We start from the raw sequence: 27,442 nt of genomic DNA on the forward strand, positions 1-27,442 counted from the left end.
GTTTCATGTTTAACACCTGAACTAAGTGCGAGTCATTGGACTTCTCAGCTTTTTGTTCAGAAATTGCAAAAATTAAAGGAGTAATTAGGATGAGGGAACTGGTTCATTTAGTCAGTCAGTTAGACTCTAGCACTTAAACATAGAAATTGAATCCCCTAAAATAGGGAAAATGGAATGACAGTGCAAGTTACTATTTTCCTGTGTTGTTTTTGTTTTATTTTACAATGTTGTTTTGATGATTAGAAGGAAAAACATTCATGTCAGATGCTTAACACAGTGCCTAGCACAAAATTAAGTTTTCTATCAATGTTGGCTACAGTGATGGTGACATTTATGTGAGGAATCATGAAAATAAAACATTCTGGTTTGGGAGATAGATGACATTAATACCTTCAAGTACACTGTGCATGATATTTGATATTTTGATAATCAAGAAAACCAGAATTTTCTACCATCTTTCCCTAGTGTTTAATATTCTGCTATTCATGAAAGCAATTTCATTGTCAATTGTCTTTTTCTTGTTTGCTGTGTGGCTTATTGCTAGGGTTGGCAGCCTATGGTACTGGTGACAACAGTGGTATTTGAAAGAATTATGAAGTCTGTTTTTCTTAGCACTCCTATCACTCTCTCTCTCTCTTTTTTTTTCTTCTCTAGTTTGACCCTCTACCCACTGCCTATTGACTTGCAAGAAGTTTATGAATAATGACTTGGTACGCCACTTACCAATCTTTGGTTCAAAACAGTGCTTTCCAAATTTGACTTAATTATATGGATTCAATAGGGAACTTTTTTAAAAGTCAAATTATAGGTTTTCTGTCTGCATCTCAAGGGGAGGGGCCTGGGAACATTTATTTTTGTCACAGGCGCTGAGAGATTTGTGATATACTGAACTAAAAATGTATTTTCCATTTATAAGAATCACCTGGAGTACATGTTAATACTGTGAATAGTATAGATGACCGGATCACATCTCATATATACTGAGTGAGAAACTATAACTTTGGGATTGAGAACAATTGGTATGAAGGCCCTGAGATTGGAAAGAATTTGATATTTTGGAAAAACCTATTTCTTTTTGAGATGGAGTCTTGCTTTGCCACCCAGGCTGGTGTGCAGTGGCTATCTTGGCTCACTGCAACCTCTTCCTCCCAGGTTCAAGCGATTCTCCTGCCTCAGCCTCCCAAGTAGCTGGGATTACAGACGTGAGCCACCAGGCTCAGCTAATTTTTGTATTTTTAGTAGAGACAGAGTTTTATCATGTTGGCCAGGCTGGTCTCGAACTCCTGACCTCGGGCGATCCTCCTGCCTCGGCCTCCCAAAGTGTTGGGATTACAGGTGTGAGCCACTGCGCCCGGCCAGAAAAACCTGTTTTTTCTTAATCTATTAAAAGTAAAAAATTGATCATTTTGTTTCATTTGTTGAAAAATAAAATTGTAAAACATTTATTGCATAGGTGAAAAAATTTTGCTTTGGTTGATTGTGGTAGTTAAAAATCTTAGATTATGCTTGCTTTTACTTTGGAAGGCTTTATGTTAGAGGAATTTGCTGGGCAAACTTCTGCTTTCTTGCAAAAAATATTGGACATCTTATTTTTGCTTAAAAAGAGAAGCCCTATTATTGTTGTTTTTGTTTTGTTTTGGTTTCTGATGTAACACTTTTGCTTATGACAACTTCTGATCCAGTGTTTTTAAAAGCGTTAAAAAACTATGGAGATTTAAATATAGTATGTGATATGGTTTGGCTGTGTTCCCACCCAAATCACATTTCGAATTATAGCTCCTATAAACCCCATGTGTTGTGGGAGGGACGTGGTGGGAGGTAATTGAATCATGGGGGTGGTTTTTTCTGTGCTGTTCTCGTGATAGTGAGTAAGTCTCATGTGAACTGATGGTTTTATAAAAGGGAAGTTCTCCTGCACATGCTCTCTTGCTTGCTGCCATGTAAGACATGCCTTTGCTTCTCCTTTGCCTTCTGCCATGATTCTGAGGCCTCTCCAGCCATGTAGAGCTGTCAGTCCATTAAACCTCTTTTTCTTTATAAATTACCCAGTCTTGAGTATTTCATCATAGCAGTATGAAAATGGACTAACATAGTAAATTGGTACCAGTGGAGTGGGTACTGCTATTAAGATACCAGAAAACTTAGTTTAAAAGGGAAGTGACTTTGGAACTGGATAACAGGCAGAGGTTGGAACAGTTTGGAGGGCTCAGAAGAAGACAGGAAAATGTGGGAAAATGTGGAGCTTCCTAAAGACTTGTTGAATGGTTTTGACCAAAATGCTGATAGTCATATGGACAATGAAGTTCAGGCTGAAGTGGTCTCAGAAGGAGATGAGGAACTTATTGGGAACTGGTGAAAAGGTGATTCTTGATATGCTTTAGCAAACAGACTGGTGGCATTTTGTCCCTGCCCTAGAGATTTGTGGAACTTTTAACTTGAGAGAGATGATTTAGGGTATCTGGCGGAAGAAATTTCTAAGCAGTAAACTGTTCAAGAGGTGATTTGAGTACTCTTAAAAGCATTCAGTTTTATTCATTCACAAAAATACGGTTTGGAATTGGAACTTATGTTTAAGGGAAGCAGAGCATAAAAGTTCAGAAAACTTGCAGCCTGATGATGCAATAGAAAAGAAAAACCCATTTTCTGAGGAGACATTCAAGCCAGCTGTAGAAATTTGCTTAAGTAACGAGGAGCCAAATGTTAATTGCCAAGAAAATAGGGAAAATGTCTCCAGGGCATGTCAGAGGTCTTCATGGCAGCCCCTCCTATCACACGCCCAGAGGCCTAGGAGGAAAAAATGGCTTGCTGGGCTGGGCCCAGGGCCTTGCTGCTTTGTGAAGTCTTGGGACTTGGTGTCCTGGGTCCTAGCTGTGGCTAAAAGGGACCAAGGTACAGTTTGGGTCCTGGCTTCAGAGGGTGCAAACCCCAAGCATTGACAGCTTCCACGTGGTGTTGAGCTGCAAGGTGCACAGAAGTCCAGAACTGAGGTTTGGGAATCTTCATTTAGAATTCAGAGAATGTATGGAAATGCCTGGATGTCCAGACAGAAGTTTGCTGCGGGGGTGAAGCCCTCAGGGAGAACCTTTGCTAGGGCAGTGTGGAAGGGAAATACAGTGTTGGAGCCCCCACACAGAGTCCCTACTGGGGACTGCCTAGTGGAGCTGTGAGAAGCAGGCCACTGTTCTCCAGACTCCAGAATGGTAGATCCACCAATGGCTTGCACCACATGCCTGGAAAAGCTTTACACTCTCAATGCCAGCCCATGAAAGCAACCAGGAAGGGAGCTGTACCCTGCAAAGCTACAGGAGCAGAACTGCCCAAGTCTGCGGGAGCCCACCTCTTCCTCAGCATGAGCTGGATATGAGACATGGAGTCAAAGGAGATCATTTTGGAGCATTAAGATTTGATTGCTCTGCTGTAAAATTTCAGTCTGCATGGACTCTGTACCCCCCTTGTTTCTGCCAGTTTCTCCCGTTTGGAATGGGTGTATTTGACCAATGCCTGTCCCCTCATTGTATCTAGGAAATAATTAACTTGCTTTTGATTTTACAGGCTCATAGGCGGAACGGACTTACCTTGTTTCAGATGAGACTTTGGATGTGGACTTTTGAGTTAATGCTGAAATGAATTAAGACTTTGGGGGACTGTTGGGAAGGCATGATTGGTTTTGAAATATGAGGACATGAGATTTGGGAGGGTCCAGGGGCAGGTATTTCTTCATAGCAGTATGAAAATGGACTAATACAGTATGTGTTAGAAATTCTAGTTGCCAGAATTCCTGGAAATCTTGATGCTTTTTAAGGAACACTAGGAAGTTATTGATATATTTAGGTGGTGTGTGAGCTGAGAACACTATTTTGGAGGAAATTTTATAGTGCCATATATATGTTATAAACATATGTGACCATAATCACATTTGTAGGAAAAATAACCTATTAAATGATGTGTGACTGGCTATTATAAATTTTCCACTAAAATAGTTAATTAATTGTTCGCTGATTTTTTTCTGTTAGTGCTTGGTACAGTATATATTCTTCTGATGCTTATTGTAGTATAAGGTACATTTCTTGAAAAAAACAAATTGAAATTACTCTGCCTATTCTGTTCGCAAATTAGGAAAAGATAACAATTCTTTTAGTAGTGGAATATTTTGGTCCAGTTCTTGAGATGCCAGTGAAGGTCAAGAATGTAGCTTCAGAACCAGTGGAATCTGAGCTTACTTGGTGGATTTCTTATGGAGATGGCTGGCTGTTTCATGAGTGTTATTTGGCAGTGAAGCAGTTGGTATCACACTGTTGACTCATCTTCAGAATTAAAATTTATTTGGAAGTGAATTTCCTGAAAGTAATACTGGTCTTAAAAATTCATTGTCACAGATTTAAATGTGAAGTTAGGATTTACTGTGATGCTTGGGAAATTTTCAAATTTTTCAGTGACCAGCATTAGACAAGTAACTGTCATTTATCCTCCAAAACCATACAGATAATCATGTGTACCAGCCAGTTTGCTCATTTTCTCAAAAATGAGGCCAAGAGAAAACTCAGCCAAACCAACAATTGGTTTTTAAAAAAAATCTATGAAATTAACAAATCTTTCATTATAGTGACTAAAGAAAACAAGAGAGGAGACTCAACTAAAATCAGAAATGAAAGAGGGGACACAACTACCAATTTTATAGAAATAAAAAGGATTGTAAAAGTACTATAAACAATTTTATGCCAAGAAATTGGATAACCTAGATGAAATGGATGAATACCTGGAAAGACACAACCTCCCAACACTGAATCATGAAAAAATAGAAAGCTTGCACAGACCTATGGGAGATTGAAGCAATAATCAAAAACATTCCAAGAAAGAAAAGCCTGGGATCAGATGGCTTCATTGGTGAATTCTACCAAATATTTAAGGAAGAATCAACATCAATTTTTCTCAAACTCTTCCCAAAAAACTGATAAAGAGGGAACACCTCCTAACTTATTCTAAGGGGCCAAAATTACCCTGGTACCAAAGTCAGACAAGGATACTAAAAAAAGAAAGAAAAGAAAACTACATAACTTATCGTTCTCTCTCTCTCTCTTTTTTTTTTTTTTTTTTTGAGATGGAGCCTCACTCTGTTGCCTAGGCTGGAGTGCAATGGTGTGATCTTGGCTCACTGCAACCTCTGCCTCCCAGGTTTAAGAGATTCTCCTGCCTCAGCCTCCCGAGTAGCTGGGATTACAGGTGCCTGTCACCACACCCAGCTAATTTTTGTATTTTTAGTAGAGGCAGGGTTTCACCATTTTGGCCAGGCAGGCCATTATCTCTTATGACTGCTGATGTAAAAATCCTCAACAAAATGCTAGCAAACTGAATTCAGCAGCACGTTAAAAGCATTATACACATGACCAAGTTGGACTTATTCTTGGAATGCAAGGATGGTTCTACATGTGAAAAGTGTTATAGTCAATGTAATGTACCACATTAAGAGAATAAAAACACATAATCACTTCAATAGATGCAGAAAAAGCATTTCACAGAATTTAACACTCTTTCATGATAAAACACCCAACAAACTGAAAATAGAAGGAGACTACCTCAGAATAAAGGCCATGTGTAAAAAACCGACAACTAATATAATTGGTCATAAAAGACTGAAAGCTTTTCCTCTAAGATCAGGAACAAGACAAGGATTCCTGCCTTTGCCATTTCTATTTATCTTGGCACCAGAAGTCCTAGCCAGAGCAATTAGGCAAGAAAGAGAAATGAAAGGCATCAAAATTAGAAAGGAATAAGTAAGATTACCATTGTAAGCAGATGATATGACCTTACATGTAGGCAATCTAAGATTCCACAAAAGAAAAAATATCTGATAGAACTATTAATAATAAATGAATTCAGCAAAGTTGCAGGATACAAAATCACACACAAAAATCAGTTGCATTCCTATAAAGTAACAGCGAACTATCCAAAAAGGAAATTAAGAAAACAATTCCATTTACAATATCAACAAAAATAAAATAGTAATAAATTAAACCAAGGAGGTGGAAGAATTGTACACTGAAAATTGTAAGACTTTGCTGAAATAAAGAGGACATAAATAAATGAATAGACATTCCATGTTTATGGATTGATAGACTTAATACTGTTAAGATGTCAGTACTACCCAAAGAAATCTATGGATTCAATGTAATATTATCAAAATCGCAATAACCTTCTTGCAGAAATAGGAAAATCTATCCTAAACCATATATGGAATCTCAAGGGACCCCAAATAGCCAAAACAAAGTTGTAGGTCGTATACTTCCTGATTTCAAAACTTAACTACAAAATTCCAGTAATTAAAATAGTGTGGTACTGGTGTAAAGATAGACATATAGAGCAATGGAATAGAATAAAGAGCTCAGGAATAAAGCCTCACATACATGCTCAAATAACTTTTGACAGAAGTCCTCCTATGGTTTGGAAATGGTTTGTCTGGCCCCACCAAGTCTCATATTGATATTTGATCCCCAGTATTGGAGGTAGGGTCTGATGGGAGCTATTTGGATTATGGGGGTAGATCCCTCATGAATGGCTTGATGCCGTTCTCATGGGAATGACTGAAATTTCACTCTTAGTTCTTTTGAGAACTGGTGATTGAAAAGAACTTGGCACTTTCTTCCCTCTCTCTCACTTGCTGCTCTTGCTGTGTGATGGGCTCCCTTTTGCCTTCTGCCATGAATGGAAGCAGCTTGAGGTCCTCACCAGATATAGATGTTGGTACCATCCTTCTTGTACAGCTTACAGAACTGTGGGCCAAATAAACCTCTTTTCTTTATAAATTACCCAGCTTCAGATATTCCTTTATAGCGACACAAATGGACTAAGGTGTCAAGATCATTTGATAGAGAAAGGCATTGTACACAGTCTCTTCTACAAATGGTGTGTTGGGAAAACTGAATATCTGTATGTAAAAGAATGAATTTGACCTTTACCTTATACCATATGCAACAGTTAACTCAAAATTGATCAGAGATCTAAACATAAGAGCTACTATGTAAAACTCTTAGAGGAAAACATAAAGAAAGCTTCACAACATTGGAATTGTCAATAATTTCTTGGGCAGGACACCAAAAGCACAGGCAAGAAAAGAAAAAAATAGATGTTTGACTTCATGAAAATTAAAACTTCTTGTGCATTGAAGGACAGTACCAACAGGGTGAAAAAAATGAGAGAAAATACTTTTCAATCATATATTTTATAAGGAATTGCTGTCTAGAATATATAGAGAATTTAAAAAATTTTTTTATTTCCATAGGTTTTTGGGGAACAGGTGGTATTTGGTTACATGAGTAAGTTCTTTAGTGGTGATTTGTGAGATTTTGGTGCATCCATCACCTGAGCAGTATACACCTTCACCCCCTCCTACCCTTTCCCCTGAGTCCCTAAAGTCCATTGTATCATTCTTATACCGTTGCATTCTCGTAGCTTAGCTCCCACTAACGAGTGAGAACATACGATGTTTGGTTTTCCATTCCTGAGTTACTTCACTAGGAATAATAGTTTCCAGTTCTATCTAGGTTGCTGCAAATGCCATTAATTAATTCATTTTTATGGCTGCGTAGTATTCCATTGTGTGTGTGTGTGTGTGTGTGTGTGTGTGTGTTTGTGTGTGTGTGTGTGTATGTGTGTACCACAATTTCTTTATCCAGTAGTTGATTGATGGGCATTTGGGCTGGTTCCATATTTTTGCAATTGTGAATTGTGTTGTTATAAACGTGTGTGCAAATATCTTTTTTTTATGACTTTTCTCCTGGGTTGGGATTGCTGGATCCCCAGTAGTGGGATTGCTGGATCCCCAGTACTGGGATTGCTGGATTCCCAGTACTGGGATTGCTGGATTCCCAGTACTGGGATTGCTGGATCAAATGGTAGTTCTACTTTTGGTTCTTTAAGGAATCTCCACATTGTTTTCCATAGTGGTTGTACTAGTTTACATTCCTGCCAGCAGTGTAGAAGTGTTCCCTTTCACCACATCCATGCCAACCTCCATTTTTTAAAATTTTTTTGATAATGGCCATTCTTGCAGGAGTAAGGTGGTATTGCATAGTGGTTTTGATTTGCATTTCTCTGATCACTAGTGATGTTGAGCATTTCTTATTTTGTTTGTTGGCTATTTGTGTATCTTCTTTTGAGAATTGCCTATTCATGTCCTTAGCCCACTTTTTGATGGGATTGTTAACTCAGTGGCAAAAAACCAAGCAACCCAATTAAAAAATGAACATAGGAGCTGAATAGACATTTTTCCAAAGAAGACATACAAATGGCCAAAAAGTACATGAAAAGATGCTCAACATCACTAATCATTGGGGAAGTGCAAGTCAAGACCACAATGAGATACCACTTTACATGTATTTTAGTATGGCTATATGTATATATATATATTGTATATATATGTCTATCATAAAATAGATTTAAAGTGGTATCTCATTCTGGTCTTGAAGGAAAACAACATAAAATAGCAAATGTTGGCAAGGATGTGAAGAAATAGTAACTGTTTGTGCATTATTTGTGGGAAAGTAAAATGGTGCAGCCACTTTGGAAAATGGTATGGCAGTTCTTTAAAAAAAAAAAATCAAACGTAGAATTACCATATGATCCAGCAATACTTCTGGGTATATGCCACAAATAATTTAAAGCAGGAACTCAGTTATTTTTTTCACAATAGCTAAAAGATCTAAGCAACCCAAGTGTCAATTGAGAGATGAATGGATCAGTAACATGGGGTATGTACATATAATGGAATATTACTCAGCCTGCTAAGGAAGGAAATTTTCACATGTGGTACAACACTTCAAGATATCATGCTAAGTGAAATAAGCTAGTCACAAAAGGACAAATATTGTATGATTCCACTTATATTAGGTAGTTAGAGTAGTTGAATTTATAGAAACAGAAAATAAAATTGTGCTTGCCAATGGCCAGGGGATGGGGCATGGGTAATTAATGTGTACCAGGTTTCAGTTTGGGAAGATGAGAAAATTCTAGGGATGGATTGTGGTAATATTTGCACAACAATGTGAATATAGTTAATGTTACTGAACTGTATACTTTAAAATTTTTTATATGGTAAATTTTATGTCTGTATGCCACATTAAGAAAAGAGGCTGAAGGCCTTCTGAAAAGATCACTGAAGAGTTAAAATAATTTTTCATGCATTTAGTAAACTTTTTATTATATAAATTCTCAAACATATAGAAAAGCAGAGAAATAGTGTAATGAATCTCAATGTAATCTTCACCTAGATTTATAGTGTGTTTTTTTCTGAAGTGCTTTAAATGACAGATATCATGACATTTCTTTCCTAAGTACTTTACTATAATAGATAGCTCCCCAAATAAGGACTTTTTCATACAGCTATTGTATTAGTCCTTTTTCACACTGCTGATAAAGACACCTGAGACTGGGCAATTTTCAAAAGAAAGAGGTTTAATGGACTTACAGTTCCACATCACTGGAGAGGCCTCACAATCATGGCAGAGGGTGAAAGGCACGTCTCACATGGTGGCAGACAAGAGAAGAGAGCTTGTGCAGGGCAACTCTCCTTTATAAATCCATCAGATCTCATGAGACTTATTCATTATCACGAGAATAACATGGGGAAGACCTGCCTCCATGATTGAATTACCTCCTGCCGGGTCCCTCCCACAACACATGGGAATTCAAGATGAGATTTGGGTGAGGACACAGCCAAACCATGTCATTCTGCCCTGGCCCCTCCCAAATCTCATGTCCTCATATTTCAAAACCAATCATGCCTTCCAAAAGTCCCCCAAAGTCTTAATTCATTTCAGCATTAACTCAAAAGTCCACATTCCAATGTCTCATCTGAGACAAGGCAAGTTCCTTCTGCCTATGTGCCTGTAAAATCAAAAGCCAATCAGTCACTTCCTAGATACAATGGGGGTACAGGCATTGTGTAAATACAGCTGTTCCAAGTGGGAGAAATTGGCCAAATCAAAAGGGCTACAGGCCCCATGCAAGTCCAAAATCCAGCGGGGCAGTCAAATCTTAAAGCTCCAAAATGATCTCCTTTGACTCCTTGTCTCACATCCAGGTCACGCTGATGCAAGAGGTAGGTTCCTATGGTCTTGGGCAGCTCCTCCCTGGTGGCTTTACAGTGTACAGCCTTCCTCTTGGCTGCTTTCATGGGCTGGCGTTGAGTGTCTACGGCTTTTCCAGGTGCACGGTGCAAGTTGTTGGTGGATCTACTATTCTGGCGTCTGGTGGACAGTGGTCCTCTTCTCACAGCTCCACCAGGTGGTGCCTCAGTAGGGACTCTGTGTGGGGGCTCCAACCCCATATTTCTCTTCCACACTGCCCTAGCAAAGGTTCTCCATGAGGGCTCTGCCCCTGCAGCAAACTTTTGACTGGGGATCCAGGCATTTCCATACAGATTCTGTAATCCAGGCAGAGGTTCCCAAGCCTCAATTCTTGACTTCTGTGCACCTGCAGGCTCAATACCACGTGGAAACTGCCAAGGCTTGGGGCTTGCATCCTCTGAAGCCAGGGCCCAAACTGTACCTTGGCTCTGTTTAGCCACGGCTGGGATGCAGGGCACCAAGTCCCAAGACTTCACAAAGCAGCAAGGCCCTGGGCCCAGCCCAGCAAGCCATTTTTTCCTCCTAGGCCTCTGGGCCTGTGATGGGAGAGGCTGCCATGACAACCTCTGACATGCCCTGGAGACATTTTCCCTATTTTCTTGGCAATTAACATTTGGCTCCTCGTTACTTAAGCAAATTTCTACAGCTGGCTTGAATGTCTCCTCAGAAAATGGGTTTTTCTTTTCTATTGCATCATCAGGCTGCAAGTTTTCTGAACTTTTATGCTCTGCTTCCCTTAAACATAAGTTCCAATTCCAAACCGTATTTTTGTGAATGAATAAAACTGAATGCTTTTAAGAGTACTCAAATCACCTCTTGAACAGTTTACTGCTTAGAAATTTCTTCCGCCAGATACCCTAAATCATCTCTCTCAAGTTAAAAGTTCCACAAATCTCTAGGGCAGGGACAAAATGCCACCAGTCTGTTTGCTAAAGCATATCAAGAATCACCTTTTCACCAGTTCCCAATAAGTTCCTCATCTCCTTCTGAGACCACTTCAGCCTGAACTTCATTGTCCATATGACTATCAGCATTTTGGTCAAAACCATTCAACAAGTCTTTAGGAAGCTCCACATTTTCCCACATTTTCCTGTCTTCTTCTGAGCCCTCCAAACTGTTCCAACCTCTGCCTGTTATCCAGTTCCAAAGTCACTTCCCTTTTAAACTAAGTTTTCTGGTATCTTAATAGCAGTACCCACTCCACTGGTACCAATTTACTATGTTAGTCCATTTTCATACTGCTATGATGAAATACTCAAGACTGGGTAATTTATAAAGAAAAAGAGGTTTAATGGACTGACAGCTCTACATGGCTGGAGAGGCCTCAGAATCATGGCAGAAGGCAAAGGAGAAGCAAAGGCATGTCTTACATGGCAGCAAGCAAGAGAGCATGTGCAGGAGAACTTCCCTTTTATAAAACCATCAGTTCACATGAGACTTACTCACTCTCATGAGAATAGCATGGGAAAGACCTGCCCCCATGATTCAATTAACCTCCCACGAGGTTTCTCCCACAACACCTGGGAATTCAAGATGTGGTTTGGTTGGGGATGCAGCCAAACCCATACCAGCCATAATACTATCATCATAGCTAAGGATTTTTTTAAAGGATATCTAATATCTGGGCCATATTTCCGTTGTCTCCATTATTCCGAAAATGTATTTTTATTGTTGGTTTAATGGAACTGTATGTTGCATTTGTCTTTACTGTTTCTCATCTCTTTTGATGTGTAACAATTTCATGCCATTTCCTCATTCTGTCCTCTTGTACTGTCTCTGTTTATTGTGTTGAATTTTGTAGAAATTGGGGCATTACCCTCAAGCAAGACACCCATCTTGTGGTATCTTATTTATTTTTTTTCATTCCAGAAAATTCTTGTAAACTTGAAGTGAGAGCTAAAGGCTTGTTAGAACTGGTTTAAAACAGTTTCGCAAGAATACATCTTAAGTGTTATAATACAGACTGAACAGAAAGTAAAATTAGAATTTGACAGTTGGAAAAATCTTTAGAGTGACGAAGCTGATTTCAGTTAAAATGTCTGTTAATAACTAGTAGAATTATGTCAAATGGTAGGCCAAATTAGATGTGATCAAAGATCGTGGTAGTGTACACATCTCTAGAAGCCTTTTTGGTAGTTCTCAAGAGTTTCTTGTATATTCTCTACTTTGAACTTTCTTCCTTTGAAGAAGTGTGACTTTTTTTATTATAGGCATACTCAAAATGAATACAGAGTTATATTCTGTCTTTGGTAATATGAGTGGGAGGACGAGGGGCACAAGGAGGAGGAAAAGGATAAAGGGTAGATGTTTGTTATCAGCAAGATTTTACTAGATTTTTTTCTATGTTTTCTCTGTTTCCCAGAATGGTTCTAAAATATCCTCAGGATGGATGTATTCTATTTGCTGGGGGATAAGAGTCTCGACAAACAGTACTTTACTGTGGTCCATGCAGAGACTCCAACAGTTGAATAAGTTCAAGCATGAGAGGCCAGTAAGAATTGTAATGGGGAAGAAAGATACCACACTCACTGTCCACCTGCGTGGTCAGGGGTTCTGATTGGTATCCACACTCTCAATAACTGATGGGCTATTATCTGGTACCAGGTTCACTAGCTTGGTAGGAGGTAGGAGGATAGAGACTGGGAGCACAACATATCAACATAAAATGCATCTTCACTGAGAAGCCTTACATTCATTCAGATAAACCTTTCATACCTACCAAAGAGTATACTGGATTGTAACCAGTGAGATAAATATATGGATGTGTATCACCTCAGCATACAAAAGTGTCACATATGAAAGGAACCACTTCTTTTAATAGTCCGTGAGTAGCTCCAGCTTCGCTCAAGCATCATGCTTTCTTTCAAGAAACAGACACTGTAGGGAATCAGAGACTTTTTTTGTTTATGTTTTTGTAATAAGCTTTTTTAGTTAACTTACAGTCTTTTCAGTTTAAATACTTTTCACCAATCAGGAGTCATTTTTACCATAAATAATATTGCCTAGTAATACAGCTGACAGCCTGCATTTATTTTAATCCAGTTGATTAAGTGCTAGAAGATGATATCAGAGAATTTAAGCTTGCTAACCTTTTTCCTCAGGAGGCTTCCTGGAAAAGGGCAGATTTAAGTGAAAACAACAAAACAAAACCTAGCAGCAACAACAAAAAACCTATGTGCTTATTTGAGAACATGTTAATAAGTGTGGATCTTTTTCACAGAAACTTTGTGTAGTTGAACATACACAAAATTTTGCATACAATTTAATAAGATTTGTAGTTTTCCCCCAAATTCTCTTTTGAAGATAGAAGAGAGTGTATTTTAGTTCCTGGGTAACATGTGAATGAAGATATAATGCCAGCAAGGTGATTGCTGGAAACAGTGAGCTGATTGATCAGAGCAAGGGTGAGTGGTAGAGTATGAGAAAGTAAAATTGTTTAGGTTGAGCAGATTCTTTTTTTTATTTTTATTTTTTGAGACAGAGTCCTGCTCTGTTGCTCAGGCTGGAGTGCAGTGGCATGACCTCGGCTCACTGCAACCTCTGCCTCCCGGGTTCAAGTGATTCTCGTGCCTCAGCCTCCTGAGTAGCTGGGATTGCAGCTACTCAGCTACAGAAATTACCGTGCCTGGCTAATTTTTGTATTTTTAGTAGAGACGGGGTTTCCCCATGTTGGCCAGGCTAGTCTGGAACTCCTGACCTCAGGTGATCCACCTGCCTCGGCCTCCCAAAGTGTTAGGATTACAGGTGTGAGCTGCTACACTCGGCCTGGGCAGATTCTTAAATGTGAAAATTTTAGACCCTCTTGCGCCTTCTCCAACATTTACTTCTGTTGACCAATGCCTTACTTCCCCCCACATTCATTTTAAAGTTCTTTTCTCTCTTGACTTTTGTGAAATCAGTCTCTCTCTCTTTTTTCTTTTTCCACCTGTCTTTGAAACTTAGATATCCCTCAGAGTTTTTTAGTCCTCTTTTCTTTTTGATTTTCACTTTTACATTAAGAGCACTTCAATTATTCCTATCTGCTGATGATTCCTAAGTCTCTTTTTGCCTTGTGTGGAGCTCGAGATCTTTATTTATTGTTGCCTGTGTACATGTCCACCAGACTGTTCCACAAATACTAAGTTCAGAAATTCTCAAATTGTACTTACTTTCTCACTGTGGTCTTCCTTCTATGTTTCCTGTTTCATCTGTTGGCATCCCTATCCAAAGTCCTTTCTTTCTATATTCCATTGCTATGTTAAGCCCTTCTGTGCATAATTGTATTTATTCTACAGAGTTGTCTTATAGGTCCTATGGTCCTTCTTTTAGAGATAAAGCAATTTTTGTAGTTTAAATATTTACCTCCAAATTACACTATTAGTATGGGACAGTGCTGGGATATAAACCCATATGTATAAATTCCATATTTTTTACTGCAATTATTATAATGCCAGCCACTTTTATCACTTTAAAAAATATTAAGGGTTTACCTATAGGTGTAATTAAAGGAATATTTATTGCAGTGTTTTTCTAAAAAGAAAAATTCCAACAGTAAGAATTTCTGTTCAGCCCATTAAAGAATATTCATAAGGAATGCCATATGGCCATTTATACATCATATTTTTGACCAGTAGTTTTTATTTTGTATAAACAAATTACGTATGGAAACCCAATGTGTGAAATAGATTAAGAAAAAATAATGCTTGAAAGGGAGGGACGCTCCACAGTATTTCATGGACAGCTATCTGCAATGGTTTTTGAGGAGAGTTAGGAAAATATTCATAATACCTTAAGTGAAAAAAATACAATTAGTAAAACAGTATGCACAGTGTGCCCCCAATTTTGCTAAAAACGTATTTGAATGTGCAGTTCGCCCTCCGTATCCATGGGTTCTACATCCATGGATTCAATCAACTGCAGAGTGAAAATATTTGGGGAAAAAAGTGACTATACTGAACATGTACAGACTATTTTTCTTGTCATTATTCTTGAAACAATACAGCATAACCACTATTTACATAGCATTTACATTGTATTAGATATAAGCAATCTAGAGATGTTTTAAAGTATTTGGGTGGACATGTGTAGATTATATACAAATACTACATGATTTTACATAAGGAACTTAAGCATCTTCAGATTCTGGTATCCGCAGGGAGTCCTGGAACTGATCCCCCATGGATACCAAGGGACAACTCTATACATTGCTAAAAGACTAGGAAGTTATACATCAAAGTATGAGCACTAGTTGTTCCTTAATTTGAGGATTATTTATAATTTTCATTTTCCCCACATTTTCCACAATGAGCAAGAATTAGTTTCGTAAATAGAGACTATAAAGCAAAACTCCTGAACATTATTTAAAAAAGGCAATAAATGCAAAAAACCCTCAAAACATGCTACATGTCATTGAATACACACAATATACACACATACACTGTCATATACGAAGTAAAAGGAAACTGGTGACTGTTGATCCATGAGCATTGGCTTTTGAAGCCCTTGAATACATGTGTAGGCAAGAAGCTGTACTTTACTCTTCGAACATCAACCTTGGATGGATATTGATGCTGTTTTCAGTAGGGGTTTAGAATGTGGACTTTGGAAACTGACTGTTAGGTTTGAATCCTGGCTCTGCTATTATTTGTTGTTTTATCTTGGGCAAGTTGCTTAACAGTTCTTAAGTCTTCCCCATTTGTGAAATGATACCTACCTTACAGGGAGGTTAGGATTAAGTGAGTTAACTCAATAACATGCTTACAGCAATGCCTGGCACTTAGTAAGAGATCAGTATTAGTTGTTTTGGTTATTATTCCAATCTTTTATTTTCCCTCCAAACTCTGTCTCCCTTTCCCTTCCCCAAAGTTAGCTGGAAATTTAGATGGAAAGTCATAGTTTTTATTCAGATTCAGTTTCCCAAAGAGGTCACTGGTCAATTAGGTACATACTTCTTCTTCCTACTAAAATTTAATAACAACTATACCTTATTTTGTAAATATTTGTGTGCTTTTATGGTATGATTTCTAACCAGAAATTGTCCACATTCAGTGATTCACTAGGAGCATTTACAAGACTCAGCACATGGTTGTACTTATGGCTGTGATTTATTACAGCAAAAGGATACAAAACAAAATCAGTGAGAAGAAAAGGCACATGGGGTAAAGTCCAGAGTAAATCAGTGTAAGCGTCTAAGGGTCCTTTCCCAGTGGAGTTACATGGGATGCGTCTAATTCCTCAAGCAAGTTGTGACAACACATGTAAAATGTTTACCAGGGAAGCTCATTAGAGACTCAGTGCCCAGGGTTTATATTAGGGGTTGTTAATATAGACACTCTCTGTCTAGCATGCACCAAAATTCTAGATCCTAGAAGGAAAACAGGTATTCAGCACAAACCACATTTTTTGTAAAGTGTAGGCACACTGAGCTGTTCTTACTAGGAAATAGTGGGAACTGTCCTGAAATCTAAATTTCCAGATGCCAGCGAGGGGCCAACCTTGCAAGCAGACCTTTCTAGGGATAGCAATCTCAGGCCTGCTGTGTTAACTCTTTTCTGTACCATGGTATGTTATGAAATGTATTTTACTTAAGAAACGAATGTCAACAAATCTAGACATTTAAAAAAAGCTTTATTGAGATACAATTCTCACATTATAAAATTCAACCAATTAAAGTGTACAATGCAGTGATTTTTAGTATATTTATAGAGTTGTGCAACCATCACCAGAGTCTAATTTTAGAACATTTTCACCATCTCCCCTCCAAAACCCTTACTCATTAGCAGTCATTTCTCATTCCCACCTTTCCCCTCCCTCAAGCTTTCCCCCCACGCCCTGCCAATCCCTAGGCAACCACTAATTTACTTTTTGTCGTTAAGGAACAAATCTATACTTTAGCATGTTTTCATTTTTATTTCATCTCTGATATTAGTGGCTTTGTAAATGGTACCTTAAAAATTATTCACAGGTATTTTACTTCCAGTGTGTGAGTCAGAGATTCAGAGTTTGAGTCTATATGGCAGCTTCTATATCTAGAGCACTTATCCACACTAATCATCATCAAAACGGATATTACATGAGTTTGGGATATTTAATGAAATAATTCATTATAAAAGCCCTTGTTTTTGTAATGTTCGTTCTCACTTGTTTAAGAGTATATAATACAATTGATTGAGGCTTACCAATGATAATTTTTATATTTATGGGTTGACATTTAGTCTTTTCACGGTATCTTTTTGCTAAAAGAGAGAAAGGGACTCATAGTGAACAGGATGAAGTTGGGAGAGGTAGTTATGCTGTTGCCATTCAGACGTAGAGAGGGGAAAAAAGCATAGATTGTTAGGAGGTAATGGACAAAAAGTATTCCTTTATTATAAGTGGCTGTTAATTTTTTGGCATTCTCTGATGTTGGTACAATATACAATAGCAAATGAAAAGTAAATTTACATGTGAATTTATATTGAACCAGAAGTAAAAATTTTTTAAGTTGTAGAAAATTTTCAATTTTAAAGCAAAGATGCTTGTGTGTATGTTTTTAACCATTATTTTGGTTGAAATCTAGTTTCTCTGAAATTTGGGTTAGTAAGACAAGCTGTACTATAAACTGAGCACTGTGGGAGGATGTTTGTTTTGTGATTAAAACAGAACTTTGTCATCATGAGTTACATAGGTATTGACTAAACATGGGTGTTTACCTAAATGTCCAAATCTGTGTAAGTTCTTATGCTTTTGAAATAAAAGCTTTACTTTTAATGTTAATACATGTTTATAATTAAAAGGGATATTTTTGGACATTGGGAATTAATATATCAAATGATCTATTCCCTGGGACAAAGCACCAGCTCTCAGTTACTCACATCCTTGTCTTCCAGGTGATTTTACAACGAGATGCTGCTCTCCATAGGGATGCTCATGCTGTCAGCCACACAAGTCTACACCATCTTGACTGTCCAGCTCTTTGCATTCTTAAACCTACTGCCTGTAGAAGCAGACATTTTAGCAGTAAGTACAGTAAAATTTATTCATGTCTAGAAACATCCCTTAAAGAAAAGCTTAAAAAAAGCCTGGAATGATATTTATAAGACATTGTTATAAGACATTTTTATCTAAAAACATACCCCAACACATATACACAGTTACTTGACATTGAGGTACCTTATTCATTTGTTTATTTATTTTTTGAGACGGAATTTCATTCTCGTTGCCCAGGCTGGAGTACATTGTTGCGGTCCTGGCTCACTGAAACCTCCACCTCCCGGGTTCAAGCAGTTCTCCTGACTCACCCTCCTGAGTAGCTGGAATTACAGGCGTGTGCCACCATGCCCGACTAATTTTTTTGTATTTTTAATAGAGACAGGGTTTCACCATGTTGGCCAGGCTGGTCTTGAACTCCTGAACCTAAGGTGATCTTCCCGCCTTGGCCTCCCAAAGTGTTGGGATTACAGGTGTGAGCCACCACGCCCAGCCCCTTATTCATTTTCTATTGCTTCATATCTAATGTAAGATCTCATGAACAATCAGTACCTGATAAATAATGTTGCTCATGAGGGTATGTGTGCACATGTGGGTGCTTTGCACACATACCTACCTGCTGTGTGCTTACATAGAATTTTACTGTTTTTCTTGGTACCTAGTACATCTCTTAATGACTGTAAGATCTCAGTAGTATCTCTATTGATAATAATATTTAAGAAATTCTATAAGATGTTCATAGAAAATTTCAACCCAAGATTAGCATTAATGAATCAGAAGAGAAGCACAGTGGTCCTATCTTTGATGGTGGATAGAAAAGTTTTTAGAGAAGAAGAGTGCTGCTCAAAACCTTAGCATAGCCTCTCTTAGCTACTGTCTTACTTTCCTCCACACTGGGGAGTATACAGATGGTCTCCAGCTTAAGATAAGGCTTGACTAGTGAGCTTTCGACTTTATGATGGTATGAAAGTGATATGCATTCAGTACGCACCTCAACTTATGATGAGATTATGTTCCAACAACCCCATCATAAGTTGAAAATATCATAAGTAGAATTTGACTTATGAAACATTTTTGACTTAGATATTTTCAGTTTATGATGAATTTATCCAGATGTAGCCCCATTGTAAGTTGAGGATATATATTTTCTATTTCTCTTTTTCTGTGAAGGTAGAAAAAGAACATACATGCCTATACTCTAGGTCTGTGCTAAGGATTTGGTTTTACTTTCTGGGTGCAACTGATTTGCTTAATGATATCAGGTGAGAAATAAAAGGGCAAGAATTGTTGCTGACCAAAGCTTGATGTGGTCCCCAGCTGTGCTTCTGCACATTGCAGTAATTCTGGAAGATTCTGAGATCATTGTAGCACTTGAGAGAGCCAGGCTGGTTTCCATACCACAGCTTTTGAAGGCAGAGGATGCTAGTAATCCATACGAGATTTCTAACCCCCTGTTGTCCTCTGTAGTAGGGAACTGGTTGATTAGGTTTGTTTTGGGGAATAGTCTTGGTCTTTTTGAGGTGGAATGGAAATAGAGCCTTTAAAGACTGAGTCCATTGCTATCCAAATCTCCCTTCTAAATTGGTCCCTAAAATCCTTAGAATATTCTTGGCATGACTTTTGAAATGAGTTAGAGGATTTATGGACTGATCAGGGAATAAACTTCTCCTTGTCTCCTTTCTCTCCTTTGATTTCTTCCATTTTGTGTCTCTCTTTTTCCCTCTCTGTTGTTTTTAATACTTTTTGCCTTCTTTCTTTCATTTATACCCAAGGTGGATTGCTATTCTGTGGTGGAGCTCCCTGATGGGTTAAATGATTTTCAGTGTTGTGCTCTGGGAACTTAAGCAGATATATAACCTTGATCAAATTACTCAGCTGCTATAAGTGCCACAGTTTCTTTATTTCTTCATGTAAACTGGAGTGTTGTGGTGGTGATTAAATAAGATAAACTGCTTAGAATAGTATCTGACACATAGTAAATATTTTATATATGGTTTTAATCTTCATTATAATTATCATTCTGATTATACTTCATTCAGCCCCTTGAGAAGATACAAAACTACCTGAGCTGTATTTTTTAATTTAGAGACAAAAAAAAAATGTTAGGTATGGAAGAATGGTCAATCCTTTTTGCCAGCAGTGTTCCTTGTGCTTTACACAGGTACTTGTGGAATGTATGTTGATGTCCTGTAGTGAAGGAACTGTAAGATGGGAGCTGCTTAAATCTGGTCTCTATGCTGTCCATAAGGATAGAAGGCTGACACGAATGCAAAGATGGCTGGAGGGGAGTGGCTTGTGAAAGCATATAACTGGTAAAACAGGGAACTAAAAATTGAGACAGAGGAACTGGATGTGTGACAATCATTCAAAGGAAGTGAGTTAAGAGGTAGAAAATAAGAGCACCTCCTTTTAATGCAATAAGAGCATCCCTGAAATCTGAGTTTGCAGTAATACAGATATAAATAAATTAGACATCTAGTTCCAGTCAACTAGGTTGATTCTAGTTCCATTTGCACAGGGCTTGGGGTGCTGCTTTTGAAAAATTAAGTTTTAGTTATGCTATTTGTAATGCCAGATGCCTTTGATTTTTTGGTTGGTTGGTTGGTTGTTTTGTTTTGTGTTTTTTTTGTTTTTTGTTTTTTGTTTTTGGCAGTTGAATTCAATTCACAGACAACAGTGTTTGTCCAAGTAGTTGTTGAGTTCTAAGAGGCTATGGAGATGCTACTGTAGCATCTAGTCTATAGCTGACTAGACTAGCTGACTAGTCAGACAGACCTCTAGGCCATGAGTACTTGGAAGGCAGGACTGTGTCTTACTAAACTTTATTCCTGGTGCCTGGTGTCAGTTACACAGGAATTCAATAAACGTTTGAAGTAATTAAAAGCCTTCTCTTAGAGATTTTGTACCATCACATTTTCTTTTAATAGCATCTGTTCCTTAGTACTTTTAGATTACTGTTTTTATCTCTTATCATTTTTCTTTTACCCAAAAAGAAACGTAATACTATTAATTATGTAGGTTTATACTAGAAACATGGAATTTTAGAATTGCACTTAAGAGAGAACTACATCAGTGCTGTATATTCTGAGACTCAGAGTCCACAAGTGACATGTTAGTTTTGAGTAGTGCCCATGATTTTACTGAGAAGTAACATCCATCTTATATGAGAGTCAAACAACCCATGTAGCTTGATGCCCAGTCTGCCTTTTGATTCTTTTGTCTGGATTTGTCAGAGAGAATTGGTTGCTGGGTAGTGATTATTGAGGGCCAGTGTGCTGTGTAGCAAAGAAACACCCAATGGGTGGTGGTGTGAATGGATTGGATTATATAGCATGGGTAGTCCAGGCTCCAGAAATGGATTTATAATCAGAGTTGAAATCCAGCTCTACCACTCTATTTGCATGACCTTGGGCAGATTACTTAACATTTCTTAAGTCGCAGTTAACTTTGTAAAAGTGAGAGTTTGTGAAGGACAGTGCAGGGTAGTGGGTTAAGGGCTGGAGCTCTGTGGCCAGACTGCCTCGGTTAGAATCCTGGTTCTTCTAATTTACCAGAGCTTGTTATTTTCAACATTCTGTTGTCAATCTGTAAAATGAGGATGATAGTAATAGTGGCCTACTTTGTAGAGTTGTTGTTAGGATTAAATAAATTATTACCTGTAAAGTGCTTAGCATGATGTCTGTACATAATGAGTGCTCAGTAATTGTTAGATATTTATTACTTTCTAAATTCAATTAAACCTTTTGTTAAGGAAGCTGTCAAGAAAAATAATTGGTTAAGGAAAAGACCTTTTCAAAATAAGTGGAGTCAAACTTATGTGGTAATCACTAAGAATGGGATTCTAGTGAGGAGTAACTATTTTCTACTTCAGATTTTTTTTTTTTTTTGAGATGGAGTCTTGCTGTGTTGCCCAAGCTGTTGTGCAGTGGCGCAATCTTGGCTCCCTGCAACATCTGTCTCCTGGATTCAAGCGACTCTCCTGCCTCAGCCTTGCAAGTAGCTGGGATTACAGGCATTTGACATCAGGCCTGGCTAATTTTTGTATTTTTAGTAGAGATGGGGTTTCAACATGTTGGCCTGGCTGGTCTTGAACTCCTGACCTCAGGTGATCTGCCCACCTCGGCCTCCCAAAGTGCTAGGATTACAGGTGTGAGCCACCACATCCGGCCTACTACTTCAGATTTTTAAACAGTGAACATGCTTTAATTTTATGAGCATCGCTCCCCTCCCTCCTTATACCAAAAACGTAAAGTACCTTTGTTAGTCTTGTTCACTGTAGGAACATTTTTTGTTTTAAACAATATGATTTTAAGAGACAATATGAAACAATCCTTATTTTGCTGTTAAGGAAAGACAAAGCAGTTTCAAAAAGGGTTTCATTCAGTAACAAAACTTATTCCACATCTCAGTGTTACAAGTACTGTAGTTCAAGCTAGACATTTTATTTCTATAATTTTAGCTATAATAGTGAAACTCTTAAGTAATAGGAAGAGATAAAAGAATACTTTAGTATAGTTTGTAGATTCCCCATTTCCTAATTTCAAAAGTACATTAAAAAATACTGCTTACACACATTTGTATTTTGTCCTCATTCTATTTCCATTGATCTAGATAAGTTACTTTATTTTACAGTGACATCTTTGGCTGGGATGAATTAAATGTTTTTCTCAAGTTCAACATTAACCTGATCATAGGTGAATTAAATCAATTAAATGTGTTTTAATTAAGAGATTAAACGATAGATTGTGATAATGGGTTTAAAAGCATTTTGTAACTCTGAAGTACTTTGTAAACTATGGAGTACTCTGCAAATATGAATTATTGTTGCAATGGGAAATCACGCTGAAGCAATTACCACATATACTTGATGGCCTCCAAGTACACTGCTAGGATGATTATCCCAGCAATGACAGAATGAATAGGTTTAGTGACTGCATTTAGATGCTTGAATCACACAGTTTCCTGAGCTAATTACAAGCATACAGTGAGAGGCAAAGGTATAAGATGGACATGCTAAGACACTCAAGATAGGGTTCCAGTGGGATGCAAGAACCACACTACCTGAATCCTGGGTCACTTGTTGTAGTTTGTCCAGTCTTCCTGTATGCTGCATCAACTTTTCCTGCTGACAGTGTGGTATGGTTACCAGGACCTGAGTTGACGGTGAGCCAAGGAGACTTGACAGATGAAAGGTGTCTAGATCCAACATTTGCTTGCTGTACTGGAGAGATGCAAGGCAACTGGTCACAGCTGTAATTGGCTGTTAAACTGTGGAGTTGCTTATCTGCATGCCTCTGGCAGATGACATAAGAGGCTAGGATAGCGTTAACCAATGGGTGTTTGATTCAGGGATGACGTAGCTATCAGTCTGGATGCGTGACTTAATCCATGCTTTGTGAATACTTAAGGTTTACTTGATCCTTCCATCTTTTCTTATCTATATATAACACTCTTGCTTTCTTCCTTTTTGTCTATCTTCAAACCATCCTTTGTATCTATATGCAAAACAAATGTGTTCTTTTTTTTTGTATTTATGTCCTACATGTTGTGAACACTTCCCTTAATTTCTAGTACATCATTTTCACTTGTGTTTCAAAAGTTACTTGTTTACTATCTATACTTGTTTACTATCTATGAAACTCAGGTTTCATCCATTTCCCTTGTTTCTCTTGCTCTCTGTATAGCAAATTGAACATTATTAAATGATACAGCAAACTCATCTCACAATTATTATCATTACTGTTATCTTCTAAAAGCACAAAGAACTTTTGTTTTGTTTTGGTAAAGGACTAATAAATATTGTAGCTTTGGAATCTATATCTGTGTGGAAGGGGGAAAATTGTTAAAGAGTTTGAATACCTCCAGCTTTTTCCGTGTATGTATTTCATTGAATTTGGTCTTTTCAGTGTTCAACCCTGGATAAAAATGTTCAGCTTATACAAAATTGACATGCCTTAAAAATATGATATGATGCTGCTTCTTTCCAAAAAGAAAGTCATTTTTCATAGCTAGAGCCAGAAATGCTGTAAATTTCTTCCAGTAAATCAGACCTTTATAATACAGAGAAATTAAAATGGAACACTCCTCCTGGAAGATGATCTGTCTGGAAAATTCCTTGCTAGGAAATTGTCTATGGGAAAAACTCAGAAAACAGTAGGCTGAATTAGTGTTGCTGCTCGATAATATTTGAAATAATAATCCAATTTAAGCAGTTGTATATGTTGTAAATTATATATATTCCTTCTATTTTAGTGGATGTACATTTACAAATTCAGTTTTATTTTGATAAGCTGTGATAGTAATCAGAATTGTCAAAATAATAATTATACATAATTAAATAAGTCTTTGTTTTTAATGTTATATATAAATTGGTCTTAACTTGAATATTTAAAATTTTATTTTTAGTATAACTTTGAAAATGCATCTCAGACATTTGATGACCTCCCTGCAAGATTTGGTTATAGACTTCCAGCTGAAGGTTTAAAGGTAAGACAGTTGGTAATACATTGTAAAGACACAAGGTATTTAATAAGGTGATTTTTATTGTTTATTATTTAAAGAATGAAATCATTTCTTACTATTTATTATTATAAAGCCTATATATAGTCATTTGTAAAGGGTCAGATTATTCAAAAGATATCAGAAAGAAAGTGAAAATCACCTAGGATTGTATTATTCTGAACTAGCTGTGTTTAACATTTTGGTATATCACATTTCAGACCTGTTTTTTTAGGATATGTGCTATGCGTGTGTTTGTAGATGTATGTATGTGTGTGTACATATATATATGTACACACACATTTACATATATATGTAAATGCTTTCATATACAGTAAATCTGTATTTAACACTAATAGAAACATGCTATTTGGTTACCTGCCTTTTTCTTTTAATTGTATGTTTTGATCATGTTTTTTCATGCTGATAGGTAAGGATTTACATTATTAATTGTAACAGCTGCATGGTTTTGCAATATCATGAAATAGTATGGATTTTGAACATTGCTTTAGTTTTTCATAGTGGATATTTAGGTTGTCTAGTTTTTACTATTACAGTGCTACAATGAATGTTTTTGTCTTTGTGTATTCATCCATTTATCTCCATAGGATACATTTCCAAATGTAGAATTGCTTTGTGGCATGAATGTTTAAAGTTTTGTTCTGTATTTTCAGTTCTTCCTCCAAAAAGTTTGGAACGATTTAGAATTCTATCAATAACATCTGAGACTGTCCTTTTCCCTATACCCTCTTAAATACTAGATATTATCAAACTTTTGCTAATTTGATTTTAAAAAATCTAATGAACTTAAACATATTTTTTGCTGTGTGTGTGAGAGAGAGAGAGGGAGAGAGAGAGAGAGAGAGAGAGAGAGAGAGAGAGAGAGAGAGAGAATGGACTATTAATGCTCTTTGCCCAATTTGAAATGAAAGTGTCCTTGTGCTTTGTAAGAGTTCTTTATATATTGGAAGTATCAATTTATTGTTTGCCATATATGCTTCAGATTATCCCTTCTTCAGTTTTTCGTTTATCTTTTAATTTTTTTTAAGATTTCAAAAGTTTTGTTTAAGTAGTTAAAAATTCTTCTTTTTCCTCTACCTCTGGGGGTTAGAAAGTCCTTTCTCATTCCAAGATAATATTAGTTTTTTGTTATATGAATTCATGAAGTTGTGTGGATATGTACCATAGAATGTTTTCAGTTTATTCTAATTTTCTTAAAATTTCTCTTTTTTTTTTTTTTTTTTTTAAGGTAGGGTTTCACTCTGTTGCCCAGACTGGAGCACAGTGGCACAATCTTGGCTCACTGCAACGTCCGCCTTCTGGGCTCAAGTGATCCTCCCACCTCAACCTCCCGAGTGGCTGAGACTAAGTGGGCACCACCATGCCCGGCTAGTTTTTGTATTTTTATGTAGAGATGGGGTTTCGCCATGTTGCCCAGGCTGGTCTTGAACTCCTGGGCTCAAGTGATCCGCCCACCTTAGCCTCCCAAAGTACTGGTATTTCAGGCATGAGCCACCGTGCCTAGCCAGAATTTCTTAGTAAGATACCACAAACCTATTATTCTTAATTAGGATGGCAGACACCTCTGGGAGGGGCATTGAATTTTTAATTATTAAAAAAAAATTCATAGCATTGTATGACTATTTCTCATAAAAATATTTCAACCGAAAAGTAATATACATAAGAAAAAGGAAACACCTTCTTTTATTCTTTTCTTACCTATATGTAGCAGTCACACTTCCCTCTTCAGAGTTAAATATTATCAGTGATTTTACAGGCCTTCAGATCCTTTTCTGAACATGTAATGCTTTTTCATTCTTTTTTGTTCATAAACTTATGAACATGTATAATTCATAAATGGTTATCATTTGTATATATGAAAAGTTTCTTAATTCTTACAATGGAATCCGCTCTAGCTAGTTTTACCCAGAAAGGGATTTATAAAGGGATAAAGATGTTCAGAGTATCATAGCCTGGACAGGCAGTTTCTAAACTGTTACAGGAATAAAACCCAGAACCACCTTGCAGGACTGGCTTTATAGATGAGTGGTGCAGCCAATGGACCCTCACACCACATTATTTTTTCTCTCATCAGGAAGCCTTTGTGGTTTTACCTCACAACATTTGGCCTCTTCTGCCATCCAAGCTAATCGAAGAGATACCCTTTTTCAGACTGTTTCCTTACATGTCTACTTCCAAATCCAACACTTGGATTTTTCTGAGTGATAGACTTTTGGCCACATAGTTACTTGCTACATATTTTGGTGAAATACCTAGCTATGAGGAAGGCTGGGAAATACAATGTAGGGTTTTTGTTGTTGTTATTTTTGTTGTTTTAGCCTACTTTGGGAAGGTGGAATGCGTAGTGGGTTCAGAAAATTTGGAGCACCGTGAGTGACAGATGTCTACTGCAATAATTACCCTGCAAGGCTGGGCTGGGTGCAGTGGCTCACATCTGCAGTCCCAGCACTTTGGGAGGCCAAGGTGGGTAGATCACTTCAGGTCAAGAGACCAGCCTGAGCAACATGGTGAAACCCTGTCTCTACCAAAAAATATAAAAAGTAGCTGGGCATGGTGGCGCAAGCCTGTGGTCTCAGCTACTTGGGAAGCTGAGGTGGGAGAATCGCTTGAACCCAGGAAGGTGAGGTTGCAGTGAGCCGCGATCAAGCCATTGCACTCCAGCCTGGGCGACAGAGTGAGACCTTGTCTCAAAAATAAAAATAAATAAATAACTACTCTGCAGTTTGATTCCCCTACTTCTTCTGTTTTAGAACTCTTTCCACAGCAGCATCTATAAATCTAGTATGTTCCTGTTAAGCACTGCATGGTATTCTGTAATATGAATGATCATAGTTTATTAGTAATTTCCTCTTTAA

The 27,442-nt window shown here is 37.5% G+C and overlaps 1 protein-coding gene across 16 annotated transcripts in view, besides 1 other annotated feature; it reads left to right on the plus strand.

The window, feature by feature from the left end:
* Positions 1–27,442, plus strand: part of RNF13 (ring finger protein 13) — a 149,452-nt gene that overhangs the window by 15,355 nt on the left and 106,655 nt on the right. For 14 of the 16 annotated variants that reach the window (NR_165474.1, XM_047447380.1, XM_011512373.3 and 11 more), the window contains 2 exons: positions 17,969–18,098; positions 24,474–24,554. Coding sequence is in view for 9 of the 16 variants with exons in the window: in XM_047447380.1 (XP_047303336.1) it covers positions 17,985–18,098; positions 24,474–24,554 (195 nt within the window). In the remaining 7 variants the exon portion in view is untranslated. The remainder of the gene's footprint in view (positions 1–17,968; positions 18,099–24,473; positions 24,555–27,442) is intronic. The other 2 variants (NM_183383.2, NM_001378291.1) reach the window with 1 other exon arrangement.
* Positions 2,967–3,167: a silencer, noted in NCBI's record as "peak4858 fragment used in MPRA reporter construct". NCBI's record gives its function as "represses an SCP1 promoter by STARR-seq MPRAs in K562 erythroleukemia cells {active_cell/tissue: K562}" and the evidence as "EXISTENCE:reporter gene assay evidence [ECO:0000049][PMID:32103011]".

Source organism: Homo sapiens, chromosome 3, assembly GCF_000001405.40.
Source record: "Homo sapiens chromosome 3, GRCh38.p14 Primary Assembly".
NCBI classification, from domain to species: Eukaryota; Metazoa; Chordata; class Mammalia; order Primates; family Hominidae; genus Homo; species Homo sapiens.